Genomic DNA, 25577 nt, shown 5'->3' with positions numbered 1-25577 from the left:
CAGCGTGTTGCCCCTCTGATAGGGTCTGGGGATGATGCAGGGGATGGAGGAGGCTTGGATATTTATTCACCTTTCACATGTAAGTGCTTTGTTTTGCCAACGAGTGCTCCAGCTCTTTGCAGAGGGGGCTGCTGCCCCATCGCGGGTCCCCCTTTAGTGCCTAGTACAGTGCAGGGCAGGTGATGAGTGCTCTAAGGCAATGTGTTAAACAAAGGAATGAGTGCATGTGTAGGGGTGTTCTCCCGGGGTGAATGTCAGTGGAGAGACATTGCATTCCCTGTTCAGGGCGTGGCCAGCTCAGGTGGAGATGCTCCTGTCTGTGGCCCAGTTCCTGCTTGGCCACCCAGGACCCCAGCTCCCCAGAGGGGTCCCTCTGGACCCCACGCCCCTAATCTTGCCGCTTGGCCACCCACCTCCATGGCCTGGGTGCTGCCACGGCCACCGCCTTCATACTCACCTCCGAGTGGTTGGAGAACCTCGAAGTGTCTCGCTGCCAGAGTACCAGTGACAGCCACAGAAATCATGAGTTTCCGTGAATGGGGGATGCGGAGTTTTCTTGTATTCTATCCAGAGAGAGCTGTCCTTCAGAGGGGAATTTAGTGTAATTACCCTTAAGGGAGCGATCCTTACACAGTCAGTCACAACACTGACCTCCTGGCTGAGATTTGACAGCAAAATTGCAGGCTGTGTACTCAACAGAAGGGGCATCCTCCTTTTTTGGGTGTTGAGGGGGGAGGCGGGAAGGAAGGAGGAGGAGGGAAAGGAGACTCAGAGGCTTTGAAAAGAAAAGTGCTGGCTTACAGCTGCCAGGCAAGCGGGTTCTCCTTGGCAAGGCGTCTACAGGGCAAGGAGAAGGTGTCCAGAGATCCCCTGGAACTTCACCTGGCTCATGAAGAGGGGCCAAGGTAGGCACTCCAGCCCTTCAGATCTTTGAGCTCTGGTTTGTGATCTTAGCTAAAGTTAATCTTATTGTAAGAAGGATTTGGAGGGTACTAGGCACTATTTGATGAACTTCTCAGGCATGTTTTCCCAAACATATCTGTCCTCGGTCCCTCCCCGGTGCTAGAAGTTCCACTGTTCCTTTTACCTTTAAGTTGACAGATCCAAGACCCTGTAAACCTGCATCTGGGTTACCTGGAAGGACTAATGTGTTAATCTGTGACCACTCCAAATTTAGCATGGATGCATCTCTCAGATGTGCTGGCCCATCACATGACTGAAGCCAAAGGACACAGGGGTCAGGCAAATTTCCGTGAAGGATTGGAAAAAATCTGTTGTATGGGTAGATCTTGATGGACTGTGAAGCCTGGCAAGGAATGGAGGTAAATCCCCAAATCTCAAAGCTGGAAGGGATCCCAGAAGCCAACGGGTCCAAACTTCGCAGAGAAGGAGTCCCCACCTCTCTGTTCTACCTCTACCCAAAACTCAGGGCTGGGCGCGGTGACTCACGCCTGTAATCCCAGCACTTTGGGAGGCCAAGGCAGGCAGATCACCTGAGGTTAGGAGTTTGAGACCAGCCTGGCCAACATGGCAAAACCCCGTCTCTACTAAAAATACAAAAATTAGCCAGGCATGGTGGCACGCGCCTGTAATCCCAGCTACTTGAGAGGCTGAGACAGAAGAATCACTTGAACCTGGGAGGTGGAGGTTGCAGTGAGCCAAGATAGTGCCATTGCACTCCAGCCTGGGTGACAAGAGTGAAATTCTGTCTCAAAACAAAAAACAAACAAAAAACAAAACAAAACAAAAAACAACTCAGCCACCTCTGCCCACACAATTCCTAATAGCACGAGCTAGCTGTCTCTATAGAGGTCCATCCTGCTGTTAAATAGCCCGGACCATTGCCAAATTCCTCCTGAGTGCAAATGAAAATCTGTGTCCGTGAAACTTCTTCCTTCCTTTTGGAGCCCCTTTGGAACAAATCTAGGCTTTCTCTGGCGGGACAGCCCTTCAGCTACGTGGGGACCATGCTCAGCTATTAGTCGTCTTCTCCTCCAAGTCTGGGACCCAGTAGACTCATCACCATCTGGCTCATCCTTTCAGGAAAGTGCCCAAAAGGAGTCTGAAAGGGCACAGGACAGCCCAAAATGCAAATCCAATGTTTATTGAGCATCTGCTATGTTCCAGGCAGAAACACCCACCATATCTCTTTTCTTTTTTTTCTTTTTTTGGAGACGGAGTCTCGCTCTGTCACCCAGGCTGGAGTGCAGTGGCACGATCTCAGCTCACTGCAGCCTCCACCTCCCAGGTTCAAACAATTCTCCTGCCTCAGCCTCCCAAATAGCTGGGACTACAGGCTCATGCCGCCATGCTCAGCTAATTTTTTGTATTTTAGTAGAGATGGGATTTCACTGTGTTGCCCAGGCTGGTCTCAAACTCCTGAGCTTAGGCAACCCGCCCGCCTCGGCCTCCCAAAGTGCTGGGATTACAGGTGTGCACCACTGCGCCTGGCCCCATATCTCTTTTCATCCTCTCAACCAATTCAATGAAGGGAGGATATATTATTCCCATTTTACCGTAGAGAAAAGAAGGACGCAAGAAGCTTCAAATCACTTGCCCCAAATCACCTGCCAGCAAGGGGCAGAGCCAGAACTGGGAGCCCAGACTCCTGACCCAGGCCAAAGACTTTCCTTGAGAATCCAGCTGCGTTGGTCCCTACACCCCTTGGCCACCACTGGGTTTGGGGAATGAGCTCTGCCATCATTCTCCTGTCTCTCTACCTCCATGATGCTTTTCTGCAGGGCCTTTCTCTCCACTTGGCAGGGAGAAGGAATTCCAGGGAAAACCCAGCTTAAGTCCTGCATCCTCCCTGAAGGCTTCCCTGCCCATCCCAGGCCTCAGTAACTGCTTCAGTATAATGACAACATTGGACGTTATTTACTGACCACAGGACTATGCTTCAGCACCTACCCTAAGGTATTTTATTCAATCCTCCAGGCTTTTGCCCTGGCTGAGGGTTCTGCCTGAGCTTCTCTCCCCTCAGATACCTGCATCTCCTTGAAGGACCACCTTCTCTGGGAGGTCCAACCTAACCATCCTTTCCCAGGTCTTTGTACCCGCTTTATTTCTTTCTATAGCTCATGTCACCTTCCGAAGAGTATTTAATTTACTGATTATTGTGCTCATTGCCTATCTTCCTCCTCTTTAAGTTCCAAAAGGACAGAGGCTGTATTTTGTTTACTGTTGCATCCCAAGCACCTAGAACAGTGCCTGACATACGGTAGGTGTACAAGCGATATCTGTCAAATGACAGGAGGAAAACTCAAAACCCTTTGAGGCAGGTGTGTTGTTTTCACAGCAGAGAGGAACTAGGGCTCTAGTTCTGGGTTAGGTGGCTTGTCCAAGGTCACAGAGCTGGCCATACCCAGCTGTGTATTGGGCTGCTGAGTATGAGGCTGTTTGGGGTGGGCCTTGAGCCTGAGCCTGTTCTGAGCTTTGTGTGTGTGTGTGTGTGTGTGTGTGTGTGTGTTTGGTGGCTTCCTAGGGGATTTCTGCCTGCATTCCAACCAGCAGGTCCTTCCAGGCACCCCTCCCCTCCTTTACAGGGCTTCTTCCCTTCCTGCAGCTCCTTTCAGCCCCTGCTTTCTTGCCCCAAGCCTGGAGAGGCCTGTGAGTGCAGTCCAGCTAACTTCCCTCCCCTGAGCTCATGGGTCCCTGCCTGGGCTGAAGTCCACACCGGGAGCCCAAGGTGCCCCTGGAAGGCCCCCACCCTGGCCTCCGAGTGGTTCCTCTCCCCAGAGATGTAAATCCGGGCCCCAGAGTGGCCACACAGAACATACATCTTAAACAAACACTTCTCCTTGCTGTTTATCTCCCTGGCCTTTAAACAAACTCTTTCAAAGGTTTCTGCTGATAGGAGAGATTTACTGAAAACCATTCCTTGCTTAAAAGCCCTGGGTTTATGCTGCTGGGGTGGGGGCAGTGGGGCCTTCAGGCCTGGGGTTTCTCTGCCTCCGGACCACATGTTTATCCTCCAGGCCTTGATAGAGGAGCAACACAGACTAATCTTTATGGAAAAGAAAATAATAAAAGCAGGAAAGGGGAGGGGTGGAGGCTGGGGTGCGTTTGGTTCTTGTCACTGACTCCAAGAGGTTGTGGCAGGTCCGGGTGTGGCAGTGCCCACCACACTGTAGCCCTGCCTGTTGGGGGTGGGGTGAGCTGAGCATCTGGGAGGGGTGGGGCTCCCTTGAACTTTGGACAGAAGGCCTTTGGGCAGGTGAGCCTCTTCTCCGGCTTCCAGAGGCCAGAGTGGGCCTCTCCCTGCTGGATGGGGGTTGGAGGGAGGGCAGCAGTCACATGATCATGTCTATTCCTGCATCAACCAACAGTCAGAAGGCACCTAGCCTGTGCCAGGACCTGGGGGTGGAGAGAGGAATAGTTGTTAACAATTACTTTAGCATTTCTGTGGGCCTGGTACTGTTCTAAATCGCTTACATGAATCAACTCATTTAATGGCCCCAGTAGATTCTATAATTATCCCAATTTTGCATATGGGGAAACCAAGTCACAGAAAGATTACTGGCTGTACTCCAGAGGTTTTGGTTTAACTGGGATGCAGGCTGGGCATTGGATTCCAGGATGCATCCCAAGTGGAAAAAGATTGACATTCCCATTTCCCACCCACTCCCCACTTGTCCTTCCAATAATACAGTATCTCTTCCATTTCAAGGCGTCTCACAATTCATTGACAGTGGTATTTTTTTCTTAGTGGATCGTAAAATAATGGTGCATCTTACAGTCTTAGGTTCAACAAAATATAGTAATAGAAAACTAACCTCTACCAACTGTGGGGACTGAGCTGGATGATTTGCATCCATTATCTCATTTAATCCACCTCCCAAAGCTGCAACATAGGTCACAGGAGCACCTCTGATGAGAAAACTGAGGCACCAAGAATTCAATAACCTGCCCAAGATCACCCAGCTGGTGGGAGGTGGAGGCAGGATTTGAACCCACAGTTAAATGGCCTAATATTTATCCCCAACCCTTATAGAGCACCTTATATGATTCAAACTGTCTTCCGACCTGTTTTGTCCATTGAGGAAGACGCTGAAATCCAGAAAGTTTAAGTGACCTGCTCTAAGTTACACATCTGACTTCTCAACCTATAACTGTGGGAGAACCATGGGAAGTGGGTTTCGTTGTTATTATTGTTGTTTGCTTGTCTTAAGCCTACCTGGGCTTTTATAGCTAGAAGCCACTCCTAAGAGAACATGACCAGGAAAGTGGGCCAGGGCCAGGGCAGGGGCCCCTGAGAGTATGGGCCATCCTGGGGTCTTGGGTGCTGAAGGTTGGAGCCAAGGCCTGTCGTGGGACCTCCCAAGGGCAGAGGACTTGAGCAGGGGCAGATGTCATTGCAAAGACTCCACTGACTTCCGTCTCTGTTTTGTTTGTGAAGCGAAGTTGCTGCAGTGGCAGGTGGGGAGGCAGCAGAAGGCCAGGTAGGAATTTCCAGTCCTTCCCTGGGCCCATAGCTCAGGCCGGAAGCCACTCCCTTCCTCCATGTTTACATGCAGCGGGCCACACCCCTTCAGATGGCACAGACTGACACCCCCTTCCGGTCCCCCTGCTCCAGGCCAAATACTTTTTCACTCACGTTAAAGCACCTTTCAGCACCTGGGCCCTGAGCTGGGGAGCATTTCCAGGGAGGAAAGAAGGGAGAGGGTATGAGGAGGAGGCTGGGGGTGGGTTGAGGGAAGGTGAGGAGCTGGGGGTAGTGGAGACTAGGATGAAGTTATGTGAGTGATTGTCTTGCACCCATCATCTTTCTTTTTGTATTATTCTTTCCTTATATAGTGACATCCAGTTTCCAAAACCTTTCCTTCCTCCTAGCAACTCTTACCCTAAGATACTTAATTCACACCAAGGTAAACACGACTAATAACAGCTTCCAAAGTGATCCTTTCAAGGGCATTTTGGCAGTGGCCTCTTTATTTGTTCATTCATTCTTTGATTTCCTCAACAATTTCCTTTGGCATTCCTGGAGACCCTCCATCCTATCTCGAAGGCTTAGCTGGGACACCTCTAAGCTGTTTGGTGGGCTGCTGTCCAAACTCTGGGCTTTGTGGGTAGTGGCATCCACACCCTCTGACAGCATGTAGGTATATTGGCAGCAACCCAAGCTGTCTTTTTTGCACCTTCAATGGAAGGAAAGGCAATTTCTCCTCATGAAAAAAGTTTGGGAGACTTTACCTAAATGTAAAGGGAGGTGCTTTAATGATATATCTCCAGGAATCAAACCCATCAGTCCATCTGAGTTTGGTCATGGGCTGAGCTCCCCAGGGCAGCTGGGCAGGAGCCCTTCCAGGACATCAGAACTTGGGGTAGAATTTCCACCCCACTGGCCCTCAGGGCTCTGCATAGATTTCTCTCTCTGTCCTTCTTGGTAGGGAAGTGGCTGATCATGAGGAAGACCCTGAGCTCAGAGCTGGAAGATATCCAGGGACCCATCCACCCAGTAGTTTGCAGAGGACAAAATGACTCAAAAGTATACCGAAATCCAAAATATAAAACAGCTAAGAGTTAAAGCTCCAGTTGAAGGCAAAGGTCTAGACCCTGCCTCCTCTGCTCTCCCACTTGGCCCATAAGTGGTCCAAAGCTTCTCTGTGGACCTCCAAAGCTCAGGAGAACACGAATAGAATCCACTGAGCCAGTCTAGTGATCCATTTTATAGACAAAGAAACTGAGTCAGAGCATGATGGGATGGATGTGAGTCCTTAGGGGCCTCCACCCTTCCATGATCACTTCTGGCTCATGTTCATTCCCTGGACTCATAATGTACCCTTCTTTCTAACTTGACCTGCACAATTCTACGGACTCTTCAGGCTCAGCTCAAATGTCACCCTCCACCATGGAGCGTTCCTCAATTCTCTCCTCCAGTTCTGGCCCTACTCCCACCCAGTTCGGTGTTCCTGGAGCTCACTGCTTTTGCATCTCTCTTAAGTTCAACCTCTCATTTCTGCCCATTTGAAGCAGCTCTTTTCTCCCTTGTCAGGCTGTTGGTCTCCTTGAGGTCAGGAGGTTTTTAAAAAATCCCAAGCCTCCAGCCCATGAGTAGGTGTGCAATCACAGTGAGGCTGCTGACATGTTTTCTTGGGTGATGGTGAGATGCTTTGCCCACTGGGGTCAGGGTCTCCCTACTGGACGGCCCTAGTTCTCATCAATTTGGTGGGGAGGGCATAGAGTTTGATTAAACAGTTACTTGGATACCTGAAGTAGGGCAGGGAAGGGGATACAGAACCTTCAGAGCCTGGGGAGGAGGGACCCTTCTGCTCTAAATTGTCCACTCGCTCCATCCTCAAGAAGATGGAGAGCAGAAACAGGGGCAGGGGAAGAGAGCTGGGCCCCGCACACTTCCCACCATCACTGATTTCCCTCTTCTCTGGCATTTTAAGAGCTCAGACTCAAACCCTTCAAGGGCTTTTGAAACAATTAGATTTGAAAGTGCCCAGTGCTTGGTCTAATTGCTTAAAAGCCACTTCAGGCTTCAACTGACCCAGAGTAAAGCCTGGGGGGTGGGTAGAGGGGAGGGGAGACCCGAGACACTCTGTCGCCCTGTTTCCCAGGCCTTCCTGGACAACCAAGGCCTAGGTGAGTGGTGATGCCAAATAAGGGCCTTCAACTTTTCCCGGGGGGGCAGAGCCACCATACTCTTCCTGCCCCTTTCCCAGCCCTTGCCCCCAGGGAACCGCTCACATCTAACCTTTCTCTAAGATACCTTCTCACGCAAATTCCAGCATTCCTAGGGGTGATTGGAGCACTTATGTCCAGAACCAATTTTCAGTGTCAAAAAGTGGACTGAGCCAGTGTAAAGAGGCCGAGAAGTATCAGGAGACAAGCCTTGGTGTGTCCAACTCAAGATGATGCTTTGCTTCTGGGATATTCTGAGATTGGGGATTTTGCAATCTCTAAGTCAGTTCCATCTCTCCATGCTTTCGTGATTACTCTTCTCCCAAGTTCTTTTTTTTTTTTTTTTGAGACAGAGTCTTGCTCTGTCACCCAGGCTGGAGTGCAGTGGCGCGATCTCGGCTCACTGCAAGCTCCGCCTCCCAGGTTCACACCATTCTCCTGCCTCAGCCTCCCGAGTAGCTGGGACTACAGGCACCCGCCACCAGGCCCAGCTAATTTTTTTGTATTTTTAGTAGAGACGGGGTTTCACCATGTTAGCCAGGATGGTCTCGATCTCCTGACCTTGTGATCTGCCCGTCTTGGCCTCCCAAAGTGCTGGGATTACAGGTGTGAGCCACCGCACCCGGCTCCCAAGTTCTTTAAAAAATATATCTATATCTATATATATATATATATATATATATATATAAAATATATTATATATATATATATTATATATATATATTTTATTTTGTTTGAGACGGGGTCTCGCTCTGTCATCCAGGCTGGAGAGCAGTGGCATGATTATGGCACACTGCAACCTTGACCTCCCAGGTTCAATTGATCCTCCTGCCTGAGCCTCCCCAGTAGCTGGGACTACAGGAGTGTGCCATCACATCCAGCTAATTTTTAAATTTTTCATAGAGATGGGGTCTCACTGTATTGCTCAGGCTGGTCTCAAACTCCTAGCCTCAAGTGATTCTCCTGTGTTGGCTTCCCAAAGTGCTGGGATTATAGGCATGAGCCACCGTGCCCAGCTTTAAATACAGTTGCAGCGTAAAATTCTTCTCTTTGGCTTAAGACCTTGCAATGGCTCCATGTTAGATAGGAGCCATTTCAATGTTAAGTTACAGAGAAGCTCCCCCAGCCTTCCAGCCCCTCTGTAATTTGCTCCCACCTCACCTTTCCAGCTCCATCTGCCCTGCGTGCCCTTGGCTCCAGCCCACTGTGGTGCCTTTTCACAGGCCATGCTCTTGGCCTCCATTCCTTCACCATCTGAATGAAGTCATCTGTTTATGTGCCCAGCAACAGGCCAAGCAGAGGGGATACTGAGATAAATGAGCCACGGTCCCTGCTCTTGGGGGGACACATTCTAGCTGGGACATGAAAACATAAACAGATGATTCCTTTGCCAAATTCTTCTTGAGCACCTCTATGTGCCAGACCTGAGGACACTGAGGTGGACAAAACAGATAAAGTCCCCACTCTTGTGGAGCTTAGATGGTTGAAGGAGAAACAGACAGAAACACATAAGCAAAGAGATATGCAGTCTGTCATGGGGAGATGAATGTGTGAAGTAAAACAAAGTAGGGGGGAAGAGAAGGACCTTGGAGGTGAGGATATTTGAGCAGAAATCTGAGTAAAGGGAAGGAACTGCTTGTGCAATGGTCCTGAGGCAGCAGTGCCTTTGGGTTTAACGAGGAGCAAGGAAAGAGACCAGTGTGTCTGGGGAAGAGTGAGTGAGGGAAGGAAGAAGGGAGAAGAGTAGAGGGAGCAGGGGGCAAATCATGAATGATACTATAGCCCCGCCAGGCCTTCGGATCCTATAGTGAGATGAGAGCCACTGGGGATATTGAGCAGGGGGTGAGGTCAGTAAACACATGTCTTTTTTTTTTTGAGAAGGAGTTTTGCTCTTGTTGCCCAGGCTGGAGTGCAATGGCGCAATCTTGGCTCACTGCAACCTCCGCCTCCCGGGTTCAAGCGATTCTCCTTCCTCAGCCTCCTGAGTAGCTGGGATTACAGACACGTGCCACCACACCCGGCTAATTTTGTATCTTTAGTAGAGACGGGGTTTCGCCATGTTGGTCAGGCTCATCTGGAACTCCTGACCTCAGGTGATCTGCCCGCCTCGGCCTCCCAAAGTGCTGGGATTACAAGCGTGAGCCACTGCGCCCAGCCCAAACACATGTCTTAAAAGGCTCACTTTGGCTGCTGGTGGAGGACAGCCTAGAGGAAGGGGCAAGAGTGGAAGCAGGGAGAGTAGTTAGGGAGCCACTGCAATAGTTCAAGCAAGAGATGGCAATGGTCAGGGTATTAAGAAGTGGTTAAATTAGTGATAGTTATAATAGAGTGTAGATACTAGTATGAGAGCACAAGCCGGGGACTCCCTGCCAGACCTGGAGGCGGGAGTGGGCTGTTGACAAGAAAGGATTGCTGCAGGTTTGACCATGAAGCCAAATCTTCAAGAAGAAGGAATTCGTAGAGACAGGAGGTGAGAAAGTGGGGCAGAGGAGCAGCACACACTGCAGTGTGTACTTCATGTCTTGCAGGGACCTGGGGGCAGTGTAGATAGGCCAGAGCATCATTTAGGGGCAGGGAGTAGGGCAGGCTGAGGCTGGAGGGCTTGAGAGGGGCTGGACACCAACGTCAATGGCCAAGTTGAATTTGGGTCTTCTGTGTGCAGCAGGGAGCCACGGAAGAGTGTTAAGCATGGCTGCATCATGATCCAGTTTGTGTTCAACAAAGATCACTGGCTGTGGAGGGGTGGGCAAAGGACTGGGGCCTGGAGGACCAGTTAGGAAGCTGTTGTGGTGACCTGGTGATAGATGAGAGTGGCCTGGACTACAGGGGCTGTGATGGGGCTTGGAGAACTGTTTAGAAAGGAAAGTTGCCAGGATGTTCAGATGTTGGCTGATCAGGCAAAGAGATTAGAAAGCAGAAGGAAGAAAGAGTGACCCACCTCCAGCTCCAGTGCCTGTAGACAAGGGGCCCTAAACTTAGGGCCCTCCTTTGGCCCTCCTCACAGGGTAGGAGTCTGTTCAGAAGGAGGGAGCCACCCCCACTCCTGAACCATGCTCCAGATGCCCAGGGCCCTAGAAATCCCTGCCCTAAGGGCCTGTACCCTGCATCCAAGACCTCTGCAGGCCACCTCCCCAGGTTCAACCTCCAGAGGGTAGCCTGTGTCTTGGCTGTGAGTTGAGTGTGGGGCATGCAGTCAGCAGCTGTGTGTGCGGATTGGAGTATCTACACACATGCTCGAAGCCCTAGTTTAAGGTGAAGGTGGGGATGGGAAGGGAAGAGGCAGGCTGAGGGCAGGGCTGGGGGAGAGCAGAGGGAGTTTCTCCCCACTCCGTGTCCCTGTGTAGAACTCCAAGAAACCTGAGAACTCTAAATTCAAATCCAGCCTTCCAGATCTTTAGAAGGTGTATGAATAGAACATATTTTATTAAACAGTTTGTTAACTTGATTTTTAACTTTTAAATATTTAGACATATGGAATGTGGGTCTCCATTTGTACTTTTGCTTGGTCTAAGAGGGGTGAGTGGAAAACTCCCAAGGGCCAGGATTATGTCTTATTTGTCTTGTTCACCCTCCCCCATCCCCCCAACCTTGGACCCCTGGACCTTGGTAATTTCCATCGAACTGGAAAAAGAATGAGATCCCAGCCTGATAGTGAGACATACAGATTTGACAAGACCCCAGTAGGCAAAAGAAAGGTTGGTCAGGCAACTGACTGCAGAGGGCTTTGGAGGTGTGGCCAGTGGCTGGCGAGGAAGCTGACCCAGTGTCCAGGGGGTTAAGAGCAGGCAGACCACCTGGGTTCAAAGCCCAGTTCTGCTCTTTAGGACTGTGTGGCCCCAGCAGGTTGCTAGCTCCTGGTGCATCAGCCGCCTTCTTCTAAGACAGGGTAACGATAATAATCCCTAATGGCCCCAACCGTCTAGTTTACCGGGGGAAGATGTAGTGTTTGGCATGTAGTGAGTTCTATGAAAGTTTGTTATCATGTGAAATGACCCCTTGGAAGGAACTCTTAAGCCCAGCTAAGGGGCAGCTCCTGGCAAATCAGAGAAGGAGACGTTGGTTTTGGTGCCAGACTTTTCTCCTCCCACTTTCAAGATTCCCCATAGCAGATGGGGGCTCAGTGACTAGGCTGTTCCCCCTCCTCTACCAGGGCTGTCTGTGGCCTGGGGTAACTCCCTCTATTCTCTGTGTCTTCAAGCTCCACCAGCTCCATCCTCTTGTTCCCTGGGGACTTTGCCAAGCAACGCACTTGCTAATCCTGGAGGACCTCATTCACAGGAAGATAGTGGGCCCAGTGCTGTGTTGAGTGTCCCAACTGGTTATCTCATTCAATCCTTTTTTTTTTCCGTCAGGGAAGTTGAGACAAATTGTTCACTTCTTTTAATAATCCTCTGAGCACTGTTCCAGATATTCTTATCCCTATTTCCCAGAGGAGACCAGAGCAGAGAGAGGTTAAGTATTTCAGTATTTCTCAGCCGCAGAGCTTGGACTAGAATCCAAGACTGTGTGGCTCCAGAGCCCACTCTTGACTTCGATAAGTCCTGCCTTAGTCAGAACTAGTGGGATACTCCTGCTTAGGAAAGAGGTGGGACTTTCTGGAGCCAAGGCCGTGTCCCACAGGAGGCACTCTGATGGGACGGTAGACACTGAGGCAGGCTGATGGTGGGTTGATGTTCTGGTTTGTTGGGGAGAGGAAGTTCTTTTGGTTTCCTTCAGATTATTGCTAAGGGCCTTCCAGGCAACCAACCAACCAACCAACCAACCAACCCATCAACCCTTTCTTTTCAAGGGACATGACTATGGGTGGGTCTGAAAAGACAGGTGCTTTGTGTGTTGAAAATCCTGAGGCAGAGAGCTCTGTTTGGCAGTGAGTGTTCCAGACAGAGGAGATTCTATAGAGACAAGGAACTCCCCCTTCCACACTCCAGCCCTGTCTCAACCCTACAGCCTGTCCCTACCTGGGTGCTGTGGAGGCAAGTTGATAACATGGACCCTCCGAAAGCTGCCAGCCTTGGGGATCAAATGCCTGTGAAATAACACGCAGGCATCACATGTTTGTTGAGTGGAGACAGAGATGCCACGTCCTGGTCCTTGCTCTCTAGAGCTTCCAGTCTCCTAGCAGGATGGGCATATACACTGGGGAAACTATCCCATGGAAAGAGCATCGGGGAGCCTGGCCCTGTGGCCCTGACGAGAACTCTGTGTGACTTGGACAAGTCACTCACCCTCTCTGATCTTGGTTTCTCACCTGTGAAATGAGAAAGTTAGAATTGATCACTGGGTTAAACCTTGTTTTTCCTCTTAAAATTAGCTGTAATGAAATCCAACACAGAACTCTGCTATAAAAAGTAGAGCCACTCTGCTTGTGAGAGGCGGGAGCCAACCTTCTCTGGTTTCTTCCTCTTCCTTCAGGATGATCCCCAAGGGCGGCTCTCAGTGTCTTTCACTGAAGGCATGACCCTCATGGAGCAGCTCAGGAATGGCCTCACGAGGCAGTCCCCGAGGGCTTGAAGGCTAGAAGGATTTTGATGAGTGAAGGTGTGGGGAGGGCACACCGGGCAGGAGGTGCTGTTTGAGAAAAGATGCAGACAGGGAAGAGCCAGCCTGGCTGGGGGTGGGAAGTGCTGGAGGAGAGGGAGTGCAAAGAACCCAAGAAAGAGCCCTAAGGGGATGCCCATGGGAACTTCACCAAGGGGAAAAATGATATCTTCAACTGGGAACTCAAGTCCAGGCCCCCTTCCTACAGAGATGGGTGGGGTGTATACTCTGCTGTGAGGGGAGGGAAAGAACCAGCATCAAGGAAACGATACAGTGTCCACTTTGGAGGTTGCTTTAATGGTGAAATTAGTGAAGCTAGCTAAAGCCTCAGGACAGAAGGAATGCTACATAGGCATTTGTTAAATACGGTCATACCAGAGTGGACCCTGAGGTTGCCAAAGGTCTGCATCCCTCCTGGCCTTGGGCCCAGTGCTGGTGGTGATAGCTTAGAATTTCAGCAGCTTCTATGCTCAACAGTTACAGTGATTATGAGATGTGTGTGTACGTGTGTGTTGGGGGCATGTGGCTGCAGGTGTCTTTCAGCCACCTTCTAACATGCATGCTAGTGCACACACACACACACACACACACCCTCTCTTAGTCTTTTCTCTGGAGCTGGTGCACTCCTCACCACCCCCACCCCTTCATCCTCCATATCCCCACCCCATCCCCTTTGCTTCAAGTCCATACCTTGCTCAGCCTTCTTCCTCCCCTCTCTCTGAGTCCCTGGTCCTCCCACCCACCATAAATCTGTAACTCGGGAGTGTGTGTGTAGCGGGGAGGGGGTGGAAAAGCAGCAAACCAAACCAACCCCAGCTAATGAAAACGGCGATAAATCTCTGTCTATCAGGTTTGTTGTGAGCACAAACATTGCCAAACAAGGGCCCAGATGGCCTGCAGGCCCTCCTCCCTACGGTCTGCAGAGCTTTAAATGGAAATGGTTGCTTTATACATCTATTTACTACTTGGAAATGGGGAATGACTGAGACCAGGGGTGCCTGGCCAGGAAATGGGGTGCAGACCAGGTGTGAGTTCTCTGCCCTCCCTGCCTGAGCAGGACTGCTGTCTAGTCCCCAGCCTTCACCATTCCTGTTCCTGGTGAGCTCTCTCTGACATAGGTCATTGGGCTGGAGTGGGGAAGAGGCTACCTTGCTGGCTGACATTCTGGTCTCCACAGCCTGGCCTCAACCTGCTCCAACACACACTCCTGGCTAGCTGGACCCAACTCCTCACTGTTGTTTTTAAAGTTCTTCATGTTTTGCCTAGAAGCTTTCCCTGTTTTCCATACGGCCTGCCCTGGATGGGTAGAAGTGGAAGCCTACCTGGTCTTTCAAGGCCAAGCCAAACCCCACCTCCTCCAGGAAGTCTCCCCATCCCTAGTCCTCTCTGGGCTCCATTCCTGTAGCATCAGCCACGGACAGCCTAGGCAGTCTTTACAAGACAACTGCTTTGGAGGTGGACAGGTCTGGGCACACAGCCAGGCTTTACCACTTAGCTAAGGGACCTTGACAGGTTAATCTCTCAGCCTCAGTTTCTTACTCTATGTAATAGGTATAATTATGATGCCTACTTCTCACCTGCCAAATAAAAATAAATAAATGAAGCAAGTGTCGAACGTGCTTAGCAAAGTGAGGAGCACAGTCTTAGAGCTTTGGACGTGTCAGCCTTTATTATTGGTGCCATCCAGTCATGACTGGGAATGATTCTTCTCTGTGCCTCATCTTTTCACAGAGATGTGCGCGTGTGTGTGTGTGTGTGTGTGTATGTGTATGTGTGCACGCGTGTCTCTGCATGTCCTAGTTTGGTTTCTCCTGAAATCAGACCCTGAGACAAGAACTTGGGTGCAGGTAGTTTACTGAGGAGGTGATCCCTGGAGGCTGGAGGGAGGGAAAGGGGAAGTGAGATAGGGATGGGTTAGGAGAAAAGCCAGTGAAGAGTGGTTAATGATCGAGTTTCATTGTGGGCAATGGGGGCCCACTGAGGAACTGTGAGAACACACCATGGAATTGTCCCACGGAGTTCCAAGGCAGCCAGGTTGCTTATCCACCCATTCTTATCTCTTATTAATAACTTGAGGGTTGCCCCTGCAGTGCTAAATCCCAGCTGTCCTGTGGGCTGAGTAAAGCTCTCTTGGTCCCTGCACTGGAGAAACTCTGCAGGTGAGAAGCAGAAAGGCTGCTTAGGGTGGACAATTCCTGGGCTTGCTGACACCTTCCCATCACGGTGGCAGATGAGTGGAGAAGTGGGCTAGAGGACACGGGGTGAGGCACAAACAGCATCCTCTGCTGAATCATCACCTTTCAAGCCCTGACAGCCTTCAGCATGGCATTTTGCACACAGTAGGCATGCTGTAAGTATCTGTGGACCAAAAGGAGGTTTGACATTAGAGCTGGGAAAACCTGGACTCTCCCCATTGCTCAGTTTTTAATTCATTGTGTGATGCTAAGCAACACATAGGATGACTCTGGGCCACATCGTCTATAAAATTAAGACCTTTCTACCTTCTCTGCTTATGCCATAGATGGGTTGGAACAAGCTAGAATGATGTTTGGGGAGTGCTCAGAACAGGTAAGAAGTGGCTGTGATGATGATGATGGTGATGATGGTGATGATGATGATGATGATGATGATGATGTGTGTAGGGGATGATCCAAGCAGGATCTAGGCATGATCCAAGCTTGAGGTACCTAGTTATGTTATTCACTCTGTGGTCAAAACACAAAGGTGTGTTCCCCTGGCCCTGGTGGGATGACTCCTGCCTCTTCCTATTCCAAGACAACCCCAAAGGTAAAAGATGGAAAAAGAAAAGGCCATGGGGTTAAGATCTGCTGACTCCTCAGTGAAAAGGATCCCACGTTTCCCTGCCTACCAGGGATAGCCTGTGGTTCCTTTTACCTGGGTCAGTAGTGGGTTTTTTCGGATGTCTGATGAGTGTAGAAACCATTTTGTACAGCAATCCCAAACTTGGCGGTGGGAGGAATGGGGGTGGGGGGGGTCTTGGAATCCCTAGGGAGCCCATGAATAACCCTTAAGAGTCCCTAAGTCCCTAAAAATTATAAGTAAAAAATGGCCAGGCATGGTGGCTCACACCTGTAATCCCAGACTTTGGGAGGCCGAGGTGGGGCGATCACCTGAGGTCAGGAGTTTGAGACCAGCCTGGCCAACATGGTGAAACTCTGTTTCTACTAAAAATACAAAAATTAGCCTGGTGTGGTGGTGGGCACCTGTAATCCCAGCTACTCGGGAGGCTAAGGCACAAGAATGGCTTGAACCCGGGAGGCGGAGGGTGCAGTGAGCCAAGATGGCGCCACTGCACTCTCGTCTGGGAGATAGAGCAAGACACCATCTCAATATATATATATATATATATATATATATATATATATATATATATATATATATATATATTTATATGTAAAAATGGAGTGCTTGAGGATACGTGTACACATAAGCCACTCTAAATTGGTGACCTAAAGCTTCCAGCAAATTCTCAAAGGAGTTTGTGACCCAAGAAAAGTAGATTTGCTCTATCCCAAATCTCCCATCTCAAAGAGGAGGACACTGAAGTCCAGAGAGGGTAAGCGACCTGCTGGGTCACACAGTAGAGGCTGGATAGAAACCAAGGTCTCTAACCCTGTGTGGCTTTGTGGGTCTGCTAGGCAGACCTAAACAGTTAGGTCTGCCTGGCTGCACAACCAGAAAAGCAGGCTGGTTCACCAGGACACTGTGCTGAGAGTCCATGGCACATTACAAAGTCTCTACTTGCTCCTGGGGGGAAACATCTCAAAGGCATGATATAGTCACTATTTTCTGGGGATGAGGTTGAGCACTGAGCTGTATTTCCATGGAAAACAGAACAAGGAAAAACTAGACCAAATGCGGAAAGAAATGGAGCCCTCTGTTACCGAGAAAGAGGGCTGGGGCAGGGAGCGCTCTTAAAACTCAAGTGAAGCTTGGGCACACTGGCAGGCCTTAGTTTCCAGAGGCAGAGATGGAAATGATAATCATACTTACCCCTCTAAGTTGTGAAGATTAAAGAAGATGATGCAAGTGAAAATGGCTTATAAATAGGAAAGCAGTACACAAATGCTAGTAATGATCTTTACAGCAGCGGCCTGGTAAATACTTGTTTTGCTGCTGGGAATAAATTGTATATCACCTAGATGTCATTACCCAATTCCGGACAACTATACCATTGTCCTTCAAGCCGTTGCAGCCTACTGTTGGAGCGAGAGCCCTGGTTTTGAAGTCAAGCCTGAATCTGCACCTCAGCTCCACCACCTGTGCACGTGTGTGACTTTGGATAAATCATGTAACTCTCTCAGCCTCGAATTGTCCATCTGCAAAACAGGGACACATGCCTACCTCATAAGGTCATAATGATTTGATGAGTTGGTAAAAATGAAAATATCTATAATGGTGACTGGCACACAATAGTTACTCAATAAACATTAGCAATTTTTTTCCTGTTCCTCAACAGTTTCTAACTTTGGATAGTTTGTTTGCTGCGTAGTTTCTGTCTCTCTTCTCCACTAAAATGTAAGCTCTGCAGCACAAGGACGTGCCTGTCTTGTTTACCGCTGTGTTTCCCAGGCTGGGCACACAGTGTGCTACAGATATTTGTGAAATGAATGAGTGGAAGTGCAAAAGCACGTTTTTAAAGGATGGGAAGGAACTCTGACAATGTGAGAATGCTCACATTGGATCAGCCCCAAGGGGGACCCGGAGCTGTGCCAAGAACCCTATTAGGGGTCAAGAGAGTTGGCCTCTGGTCCTAGCTCTGCCGCTCAACTGCTGAGCCACCTCCGGGCAATTTGTTGGCCTTCTCTGGCCCTCTTTGTGTTTCCTCCAGAGCGTGGGAGCCCTAAGACTCCAGGGCTTCCCTCTTAGAGGCTGACCTCCAAGGAGCTCTGGCCAGCTGGGAAGTGTGGGATTTCGGGATAATTCAGGGACTAAATGAAGAGAAAGGAGAAGTGGGAGAGGATAAAGACCGGGAAGGAAGAAAAGTCAACGCGTGGCTGCGGCGCTGGGCAGCTACGGGTGGGGGTAGATTGGGGGAAGGCCGCGCTGGGCCAAAGCACGGAGCTGCTGTGCGCTCCCCCAAGCATGTCTCCGCCGCGGCTGATGCGCCCGAGCCTCCGCCTGCCCCTCCCTTCCTTGAGCGCCTCGCCAGTTCCCGCCGTCACTGACTTTCTGACTTCTTAACTTGTCAGCAAATCCCAGAGTTAAAAATGCACACGCACCCCGGCCAGCCGCCAGCAGGGCCGTCTGGCCGAGGCTCCAGATGTGGGGCCACCGCGCGGGCCGCCCGCCCCGCCGCGCAGACTAAACAATCGGCCTTGGCCGTGAGCGCAGCGCAATTCCAGATGCCGCGTCCCTCGCGCCGCGCGCTAATTGGGCCGCGGGCGCGAGGCTCTGTCAGCGCCAGTAAGGCCCTGCCCAGGGCGGCCTTGGCCGGGCGCCCGCCCGCTGGGCTACCTAAGGCGGGGGCAGGGTGGAGAGATGGAGGGGAATAGTGGGGCGGGGGGGGGTACGAAGGAGGGAGAGAGAGGAGGGAGGAGAGGAGGAGGAAGACGAGGAGGAGGACAGAAGAAGACACAGTGAGACAGGCCACGAGACAGCGTCAGCTTGAGACAGAGAAACACGAAGAGGGGCAGACAGAAAGGGACAGAGACATTCTCAGAGAGATAGCTTCAGAGACAAAGAGAAAGCCAGAAGCACTGAGCCATATTCAGATTCAGAAGGAGACAGAGAAGGTAGAGAGGGAGAGAGACCACAGAGATTTGGAGTAACAGAGGCAGGGCAGACTGACACGAGAACAGAATCAGGAGAGACCAAGACAACGAGAAGGAAACCAACGTGGACGCGGCCGGGAAGAACGCAGGCGGTGGGAGCACAGGAGACGCTCATGTTTACCACCGGGTCGCAGCTGCCTGATGGGTGTCTAACCCCTTTTGTTTTATAGTACCTCCTCCCTTTACATTCTCACTTTTTATCATTCTTCCTAGACCCGGGCGAAGCCGGGAACTGAGCCCACCCGCGCGGTGATCCATTCCTAGTCTGGCTGGGGGACTGCGTAGAGAAGGAACCTGAGCCGTCGAGATTTCACTCCTAAGCCTGGGCTTGGGGACAGGGGTTCGCCCTGGACACTGCGGGAGGGTGCGGGATGGGGCTCCGTGGGGATTTGCCTAGAGGCAGGGGATGCCCCAAATGACCCCTGTAGGGCCCGCCCCCAGGCAGCCACCTCGGCAGCACCCTCCTTTCCTATGCGCCCTGGGGCCTCTTCAGCTCTAGAGACAGGAGGATGACTCAACACAGGTTAGTCAAGACCCAGGGCAGGGAAGCCCACCGGGGACCACCCGGGGGAGCCCCCCAGCCTCGCGTTCTGCCCCCGCTGGGAGGCCCGGGCGCCCCGGGGGTGAGGGCGGAGGGCAGTGCGGCGGCCCGGCGGCTCTTGGCGGCCCCTCTCTGACAATCTTTCCTTTGTTTGTTTTCTTAAATCTGGGAGGCCCGAATTCCTGCCGGATTCCGTAGGTTTCACTCAGGAAGGAGGCGCCCCCACCCCCACCCCCTCTCACGTCGGACTCGGCTGCAGGGGGAATGGCAGGTTCTTCCCGGAGGCCAGCGGCGCGCAGCCCCACGGCCCGGGCAGGGCGAGCGGGTGCCCGGCGCGGCGGAGAGTCCCGGGCGCCCTTCCCGCGCGCGCCACCGCGCAGCCCCGCCGGAGGGCCGCGGGCAGCCTCGGCAGAGAAAATTACAAGAAAAAAAAAATCAAACCAGGAGCGCTTTAAAACACACAAAGAGTAGCCCTCCCTCCACCCAGCTTCATTCCACACCCCATCCACCTCTCACACTCCCCCACCCCTTTTTTATTTTGGTCTCCAAACTTGAGCCTCATTAATTTCCAAAAAAAATTTCCCCCAATAAAAGGCAAACATGGAAAGAAAAACAAACTATTAGAAAATAGAGGAGGGAGGAAATGTTATTTAAAAGGTTAGCAGACCGCATCATTTTCCAATGATATTATATACTCCCAGCAGTATCCAAAATATATATGGGCCCTGGGCCAAGAATGTAAAAAAACTTTTTTTTGAAAAAACCCTTACTTAGACACAACATCTGGACCGGAGAGCGAACAAACCCCCCATTTATCACACTTAATCCTCCAATGAAGCAATCGACAGTTGACTTCTGTTTTGCTAATTTAGTTGCTTTCAAGCGCCGGCCCAGTCCAGACCGGGAATTAAGTGTCACTTGCGGAGGGCCTGCCCTGCCCCCGGCCGTCTTCGCTCCCTCCCGCGCCCAGGCTCTCGGATAGGGAAAAAAGGCCATTAATGAAGAAAGAAACTTTTTACGAATTCCCTTTACCCCCGCCCACTCGGGTCAGTGAAAACCTCGACTGTGACCTAGCTCTGTCCCCCGCCCAGTACCCGACACCCACTTCCTTGGCAGCCACGCCCCCACCCGCCAGCTGCCTCCCCCCAAGACTCGGTGGAGCAAGGCCTCAGCAGGCACAAACTCTTGCAGCTCCAGGAGGTCACCCAGCTCACCGCCTTCTCCGCGGGTTGGCTAGGTGTTGTCATCCTCGTACCTGGCACTGCCTGGTGGCCTGGCAGCTTGACCCTTAGGCCTGGAGAAGGCAGGGGAGGGTCGTGGTGCTTGGCGGTAGGGAGCTTCCATTACCCTCGCCCCGGAAGTGGATGAGAGGCAGCAGCTCCTGAGGTGGAGGCCCTTGGCCAGCAGTGTCCAGAGACAATGGGATCTTGTGAGATTGCAAGCGGGAGAGAGAATAAATCAGGGAAAGTGTATCATTTGAGGATTAGTCAATAAATCCCTGGGACCCTGGCCCAGTGGGGCTGGTGCCAGAGGCAGGGCTGGCCCCAAGTGCAGACTTCCTTCCTCAGCAACCTTCCCTTCCCTTCCCAGAGGCCTCCTGGGTCTCTCTCTCCTCACCTCTCTCTGTCCATCTCCATGGCTCCTCTCCTAAACTTTGGAGCCCAAGGCATAGCCTTTTGTCCTTCCTCTCCCCCTTGCTGGAAAAAGTTCTACAACGGAGCAGAGAAGGTTTGAAGGTGTCCTCAGGCACCTGCAAACAGAAGAGGCTGGAGAATGTGTCCCAACTCCAGCCTGCCCGCTCCTGTTCACTCTGATCCAGCCCACCCCCCAGTCCGCAGCTTTGAGCCCTGGCAGAGTCCACAGGAACAGCCTGCACTCCTAAAAGAGGCCCCCAGTACCCTGAACCCCAGTCCTCTGCAGGCTCTCATGGTGGTCTGGCTGGGCCTCAAACTTCTTGGGATGGGGCCCTGAGTTCTGGCCGCAATCCAAATGCAGTCTCAAACCTCCTGAGTCCATCCTCTAGGCCCATGGAAGCCTCGTATCTGGAGCACCCTCCATACTCACTCCAAAGGGCACTTATGAGGGCATTTAGTATATTCCAGGCAGTGTGCTAGACTCAGGACATTTGGAGACTAATGAAACTCTCTTCCTGCCCCTCCCTTGGACCTAAGCCTCTACTGGGTTTTATTTTCTGTTCATATGGGGATACCATATTACCCAGCTATACTCCTTCCATAACCAGTTATTGAGCACCTGCCATATGCCAGACACTGTTCTAGGCACTGGGGGTTCAGAGCTGAGCAAAGGCCATTTCTGCCCTCCAACTTGCCAGGGAGACAGACATGCTGACAATTAATTCCAAGACTAGGCCAAAAATAAGGGGCCATGGGAGGCATTTATAAAAGCCTCAGAGGAGGGACTGACTCACCTTGGCTGGGATAGAAGGAGGGGTGTTGGCCGAGTGCAGTGGCTCATACCTGTAATCCCAACACTCTGGGAGGCCGAGGTGGGCAGATCACGAGGTCAGAAGTTCAAGACCAGCCTGGCCAAGATGGTGAAACCCCCATCTCTACTAAAAATACAAAAATTAGCCAGGTGTGGTGGCGGGTGCCTGTAATCCCAGCTACTCGGGAGGCTGAGGCAGAGAATTGCTTGAACCCAGGAGGAGGAGGTTGCAGTGAGCTGAGATTGCGCCACTGCACTCCAGCCTGGGTGACAGAGTGAGACTCTGTCTCAAAAAAAAAAAAAAAAAAGAGGGGGGCTGTGATGGATCACAGTGTGGTGGGGGTAACCTCATCACTGTAGCTCTTAAAGCCCATCCTGGGGGACCGTACAGCCTAATGGTTAAGAGCAAATGGTGTGGTTTAACTTCCTGCTCTGCCACATCAGTTGTAGGACCTAGGGCCTCTTAGTCTCTCTGAGCCTCAGTGTCAACATCTGAAAAAATGGGACTAACAGTAGGAACTGCCTTGTGAGTCTCTGACACAGTAACATGGGGCAAGCAGCTGGCATACAGCAACCTCTGACTGAATGTCCACTTAATTAGCCTTCTTTCAAAGTATTCGAATAAACTAGCTTGTAGCCTCCTTGCCACCCTCTTCTTGTCCTCCTCCTCAACTTGAGGGCCTGGCACAGTGCTAGGCACATAGAGTAAGTGGTGGAATAAATCAATGGGTACAATAGAAAGCCCATCAAACCTTGGCTCAAGTGCTGCTAGGTAGACAAGCAGTGGGCCTGAATGTTCCATTTCTTTGTTCTGATACCTGGCCATAGGCTGGGTGGGCCACGATGGCTGTTCTTCTTGCTCCCACATTTCCAGAAGTCAGGCAGAGTATGACCCTCTGAAGCCCCCTTTTCTCTGCTCAGTAGAAAGTCAAGAAATGTCTTCTAGCCTGGAGCCATCATTCTGTGACTCTGGTTTGGGCTGAGTCTTGACTTGCTGTGTAACCCCGGGCAAGACATGTCCCTCTCTGGGCCTTGGACTCCTTATAGGTGAAATGAGTAGGTTGGACTGGATGCTTTCCATGCTCCTCTGCAGCCTTTGTGTTTGATGTCTGCTTCTTCTTTCAGCTGGGGGAACCTCATCGTCCTTGCCAGAGCCTGCTTACCTGGAGGTGTGGTTTTGTGCTCTCCCATTTCCCATCTGCTTCTTGGCTTTTCTTTTCTTTTCTTTTCTTTTCTTTTCTTTTTTTTTTTTTTTTTTTGAGATGGAGTCTCACTCTCACCCAGGCTGGAGTGCAGTTGAGCGATCTCAGCTCACTGCAACCTCCGCTTCCTGAGTTCAAGTGATTCTCCTGTGTCAGCCTCCCGAGTAGCTGGGATTACAGGCACATGCCACCACGCCCAGCTAATTTTTTGTATTTTTAGTAGAAATGAGGTTTCACCATGTTGGCCAGGCTGGTCTTGAACTGCTGACCTCCAGTGATCCGCCCACCTTGGCCTCCCAAAGTGCTGGGATTACAGGCTTGAGCCACCGTGCCTGGCCTTGCCTCTTGGCTTTTCACTGTGGTGTCCCTGTCTTTTTCCCTTCTTGCTCCCCTCAGCTATCTTCCTCTCTTTCTCTCTCTTATTCTGTCCCAGCGTGTGAATAGTATGTGGATGAACTGATGATGCTTAACTTTCTCCTGGGCAGCTTTCCCCTCCCACCTCTACCCGGCTTCTTGACCCCCAAACACAATCTGGGCCTGAGGAGCAGACCTCTCCATCTGTCCTCTTGCCTGGGCTTCTGTCCCTGAAGACCTTGGTGGTGCCCTGACCCTTGACTTCTGACTTCTGAGAGAATGGGAGAATGGCATCCCAGCTGGACCAAGACAGTGCCTAATATGGGTCTTCTGTCCCTAGAGATGGACAGGCTTTATATTCCCTCGCCGCCCTCCCCCCAAAGTCCCAGGCTCAGGGAAGGGGACAGGAAACTTTTTCTAAGTCTAGCTGACACTCAGCCCTGGAACCCACCTCCTTCACAATGCCATCGCCCACCTCTGAAGCTGGGAGAACCCCTTGACAGATGGGCCTGAGGTTATGATCGTCACTAAGGAACCACTTACTGTCAGGAACCATTTCCAGAGAACTACTGTGTGCCAGGTACTGTGCTATGAGCCAAGAGGAGGGGTCTGTGTTGGGGTAGAAGGGACTGGGGGTGGGACAAAAGCTGGGGGGAATCCCCAAGAAGGGCATCACTGCCAAGCCTAGGGCTCGTGGGCAGAGGGTTTGGCAATGCCTGTGCGTGGGCCCAGTTGGAGTGGCACCTGAGATGGAGCCAGGCCTTGGAGGCAGGTAAACAGGACGCTGTGTGCTGGGTGTGGTGAAGGGAAGGGGGATACAGGGGCACAATGGACCATTGTGTGCTCTGGAGTTGCCTTCACTTCTGGACTCTCTACAACCCTCCCACTAGGCTGTACAAATATTGAGACATATGGAAGATGTGGTCATAGATACCAAGACAAATGGAAGATGATAGTCATCTGCTTTTGGACTCTTCTGCTCTTGCCTAGACCACAGTGGACCAAGGGGTTGTGGTGTGTGCTGCGTGGCCCCGCAGGAGGGCAAAAGGAGGGAGCATTTGGCTGCTGGGATGTGGTTGACAGAGATCTAATCAAGTCTGGTGACGGGGCTGTGGCCTCAGCTGGGCCACTAGCTAGCTGTGTCTGTCTTTAGGAAAGTCACATTACTGCTCTAACCCTCAGTTTACTCATCTGTAAGATGGGATAAGGATTACCCTTGCTCTGTCTACCTCACAGTGATGTGTGGCATTGTGACAGAGCCTTGGTTGTTGTTAAGGGGTGTACACAGGGCAGAGCTGGTTGTTCTTGCTTCTGTTGTTACTCTGCTGCAAGATCCTTTTTGCCTGACAAACCTCCCCTCTGGGTTCAGATGTAGGCAGAATTGATGGGTACCCATGTGGGACTATTGAGAGACCTAAGGACAGGAATCAGGACTTAAATTCTCTAAGTGTTCAGCCAACCAATCTTCATTCATTCATCATTCATTCAGTCAACATACATTTTTTTTGAGCTGCCTCTCTTATGTCAAGCACTTTGATGCCCTGGGCCTTTGAAGATGAATAAAGTATGTTTCTTGTCCTCAGGGAACTCCCAATCAGCTGGGAAAGGGGCTGAACACACACACACACAGCATTAACATACAATAATAACGAGTATTTATTGAGCACTTACTATGTGCCAGGAATGGTTCTAAGTACTCTATATACATTAATTCATATAATCATTTTCATTTTGAAGATGAGGAAACCAAAGCACAGAGAAGGTAAGCAACTTGCCAAAAGTCTCACAGCTAGGAAGGAACAGAACCAGGATTGACCCCAGGCAGTCTGTCTAGAGCCTGTGTTCTTAGCCAGTAACTAGTACACACAACATGCATGAACCTACACTAACAAGGGCAAAAGAATAGTAAAGAGAAGAGTGGGCTGAGCCTCTGAAGAAATGGAAAAGGAGAGGAGGGATTGGCTATAGTCCAGCTTCCACTAGGGCAGGAGAAGGTGAAACAGGCTTGACTAAGCTGGACAGATTTGCGATGTCTCAGACAGGAGGTCCTGGGATGGGTTTCCAAGGCAGGAG

General features: G+C 51.1%; 2 long non-coding RNA genes across 5 annotated transcripts in view, besides 6 other annotated features; one reads left to right on the top strand and one right to left on the bottom strand.

Moving 5' to 3' along the window:
• Nucleotides 1-3879: 3879 nt before the first annotated feature.
• LINC01276 (long intergenic non-protein coding RNA 1276) lies at nucleotides 3880-24653 on the bottom strand. 3 transcript variants are annotated; one of them, NR_175974.1, is made up of 6 exons: nucleotides 24439-24653; nucleotides 23701-23840; nucleotides 21121-21253; nucleotides 20759-20929; nucleotides 17361-17507; nucleotides 15005-15525 (listed from the first exon to the last, which is right to left on the bottom strand). It is a non-coding gene; the product is annotated as a long intergenic non-protein coding RNA 1276 (long non-coding RNA). The 3 variants fall into 3 exon arrangements; NR_175975.1 differs by lacking the exons at nucleotides 17361-17507; nucleotides 23701-23840 and having other exon boundaries at nucleotides 21121-21212; NR_120347.1 differs by lacking the exons at nucleotides 15005-15525; nucleotides 17361-17507; nucleotides 23701-23840; nucleotides 24439-24653 and adding an exon at nucleotides 3880-4356 and having other exon boundaries at nucleotides 21121-21288.
• Nucleotides 17808-18307: an enhancer, noted in NCBI's record as "H3K4me1 hESC enhancer chr6:41473163-41473662 (GRCh37/hg19 assembly coordinates)". NCBI's record gives its function as "activates a minimal SCP1, AML or CMV promoter by ChIP-STARR-seq in naive H9 embryonic stem cells {active_cell/tissue: H9 hESC(naive)}" and the evidence as "EXISTENCE:reporter gene assay evidence [ECO:0000049][PMID:30033119]".
• Nucleotides 18335-18414: a silencer, noted in NCBI's record as "silent region_17182". NCBI's record gives its function as "represses an Ori minimal core promoter by ATAC-STARR-seq in GM12878 lymphoblastoid cells {active_cell/tissue: GM12878}" and the evidence as "EXISTENCE:reporter gene assay evidence [ECO:0000049][PMID:35858748]".
• Nucleotides 18445-18604: a silencer, noted in NCBI's record as "silent region_17181". NCBI's record gives its function as "represses an Ori minimal core promoter by ATAC-STARR-seq in GM12878 lymphoblastoid cells {active_cell/tissue: GM12878}" and the evidence as "EXISTENCE:reporter gene assay evidence [ECO:0000049][PMID:35858748]".
• LOC112267957 (uncharacterized) overlaps nucleotides 18731-25577 on the top strand; it is a 52113-nt gene continuing 45266 nt past the window's right edge. The window contains exons 1-2 of one of the 2 annotated variants that reach the window (XR_007059573.1): nucleotides 18731-19054; nucleotides 19176-19485. This is a non-coding gene — a long non-coding RNA (uncharacterized LOC112267957). Of the gene's footprint in view, nucleotides 19486-25577 lie in introns of both variants that reach the window. The other variant, XR_002956346.2, reaches the window with a different exon arrangement.
• Nucleotides 18785-18884: an enhancer, noted in NCBI's record as "active region_24509". NCBI's record gives its function as "activates an Ori minimal core promoter by ATAC-STARR-seq in GM12878 lymphoblastoid cells {active_cell/tissue: GM12878}" and the evidence as "EXISTENCE:reporter gene assay evidence [ECO:0000049][PMID:35858748]".
• Nucleotides 19588-20335: an enhancer, noted in NCBI's record as "OCT4-NANOG-H3K27ac-H3K4me1 hESC enhancer chr6:41471135-41471882 (GRCh37/hg19 assembly coordinates)". NCBI's record gives its function as "activates a minimal SCP1, AML or CMV promoter by ChIP-STARR-seq in naive H9 embryonic stem cells {active_cell/tissue: H9 hESC(naive)}" and the evidence as "EXISTENCE:reporter gene assay evidence [ECO:0000049][PMID:30033119]".
• Nucleotides 20336-21083: an enhancer, noted in NCBI's record as "OCT4-NANOG-H3K27ac-H3K4me1 hESC enhancer chr6:41470387-41471134 (GRCh37/hg19 assembly coordinates)". NCBI's record gives its function as "activates a minimal SCP1, AML or CMV promoter by ChIP-STARR-seq in naive and primed H9 embryonic stem cells {active_cell/tissue: H9 hESC(naive and primed)}" and the evidence as "EXISTENCE:reporter gene assay evidence [ECO:0000049][PMID:30033119]".

Source organism: Homo sapiens, chromosome 6 (assembly GCF_000001405.40).
Source record: "Homo sapiens chromosome 6, GRCh38.p14 Primary Assembly".
In the NCBI taxonomy this organism is placed as follows: Eukaryota; Metazoa; Chordata; class Mammalia; order Primates; family Hominidae; genus Homo; species Homo sapiens.
The sequence above is the reverse complement of the archived record's forward strand: the minus strand, read 5'-3'. Positions and strand labels throughout refer to the sequence as shown.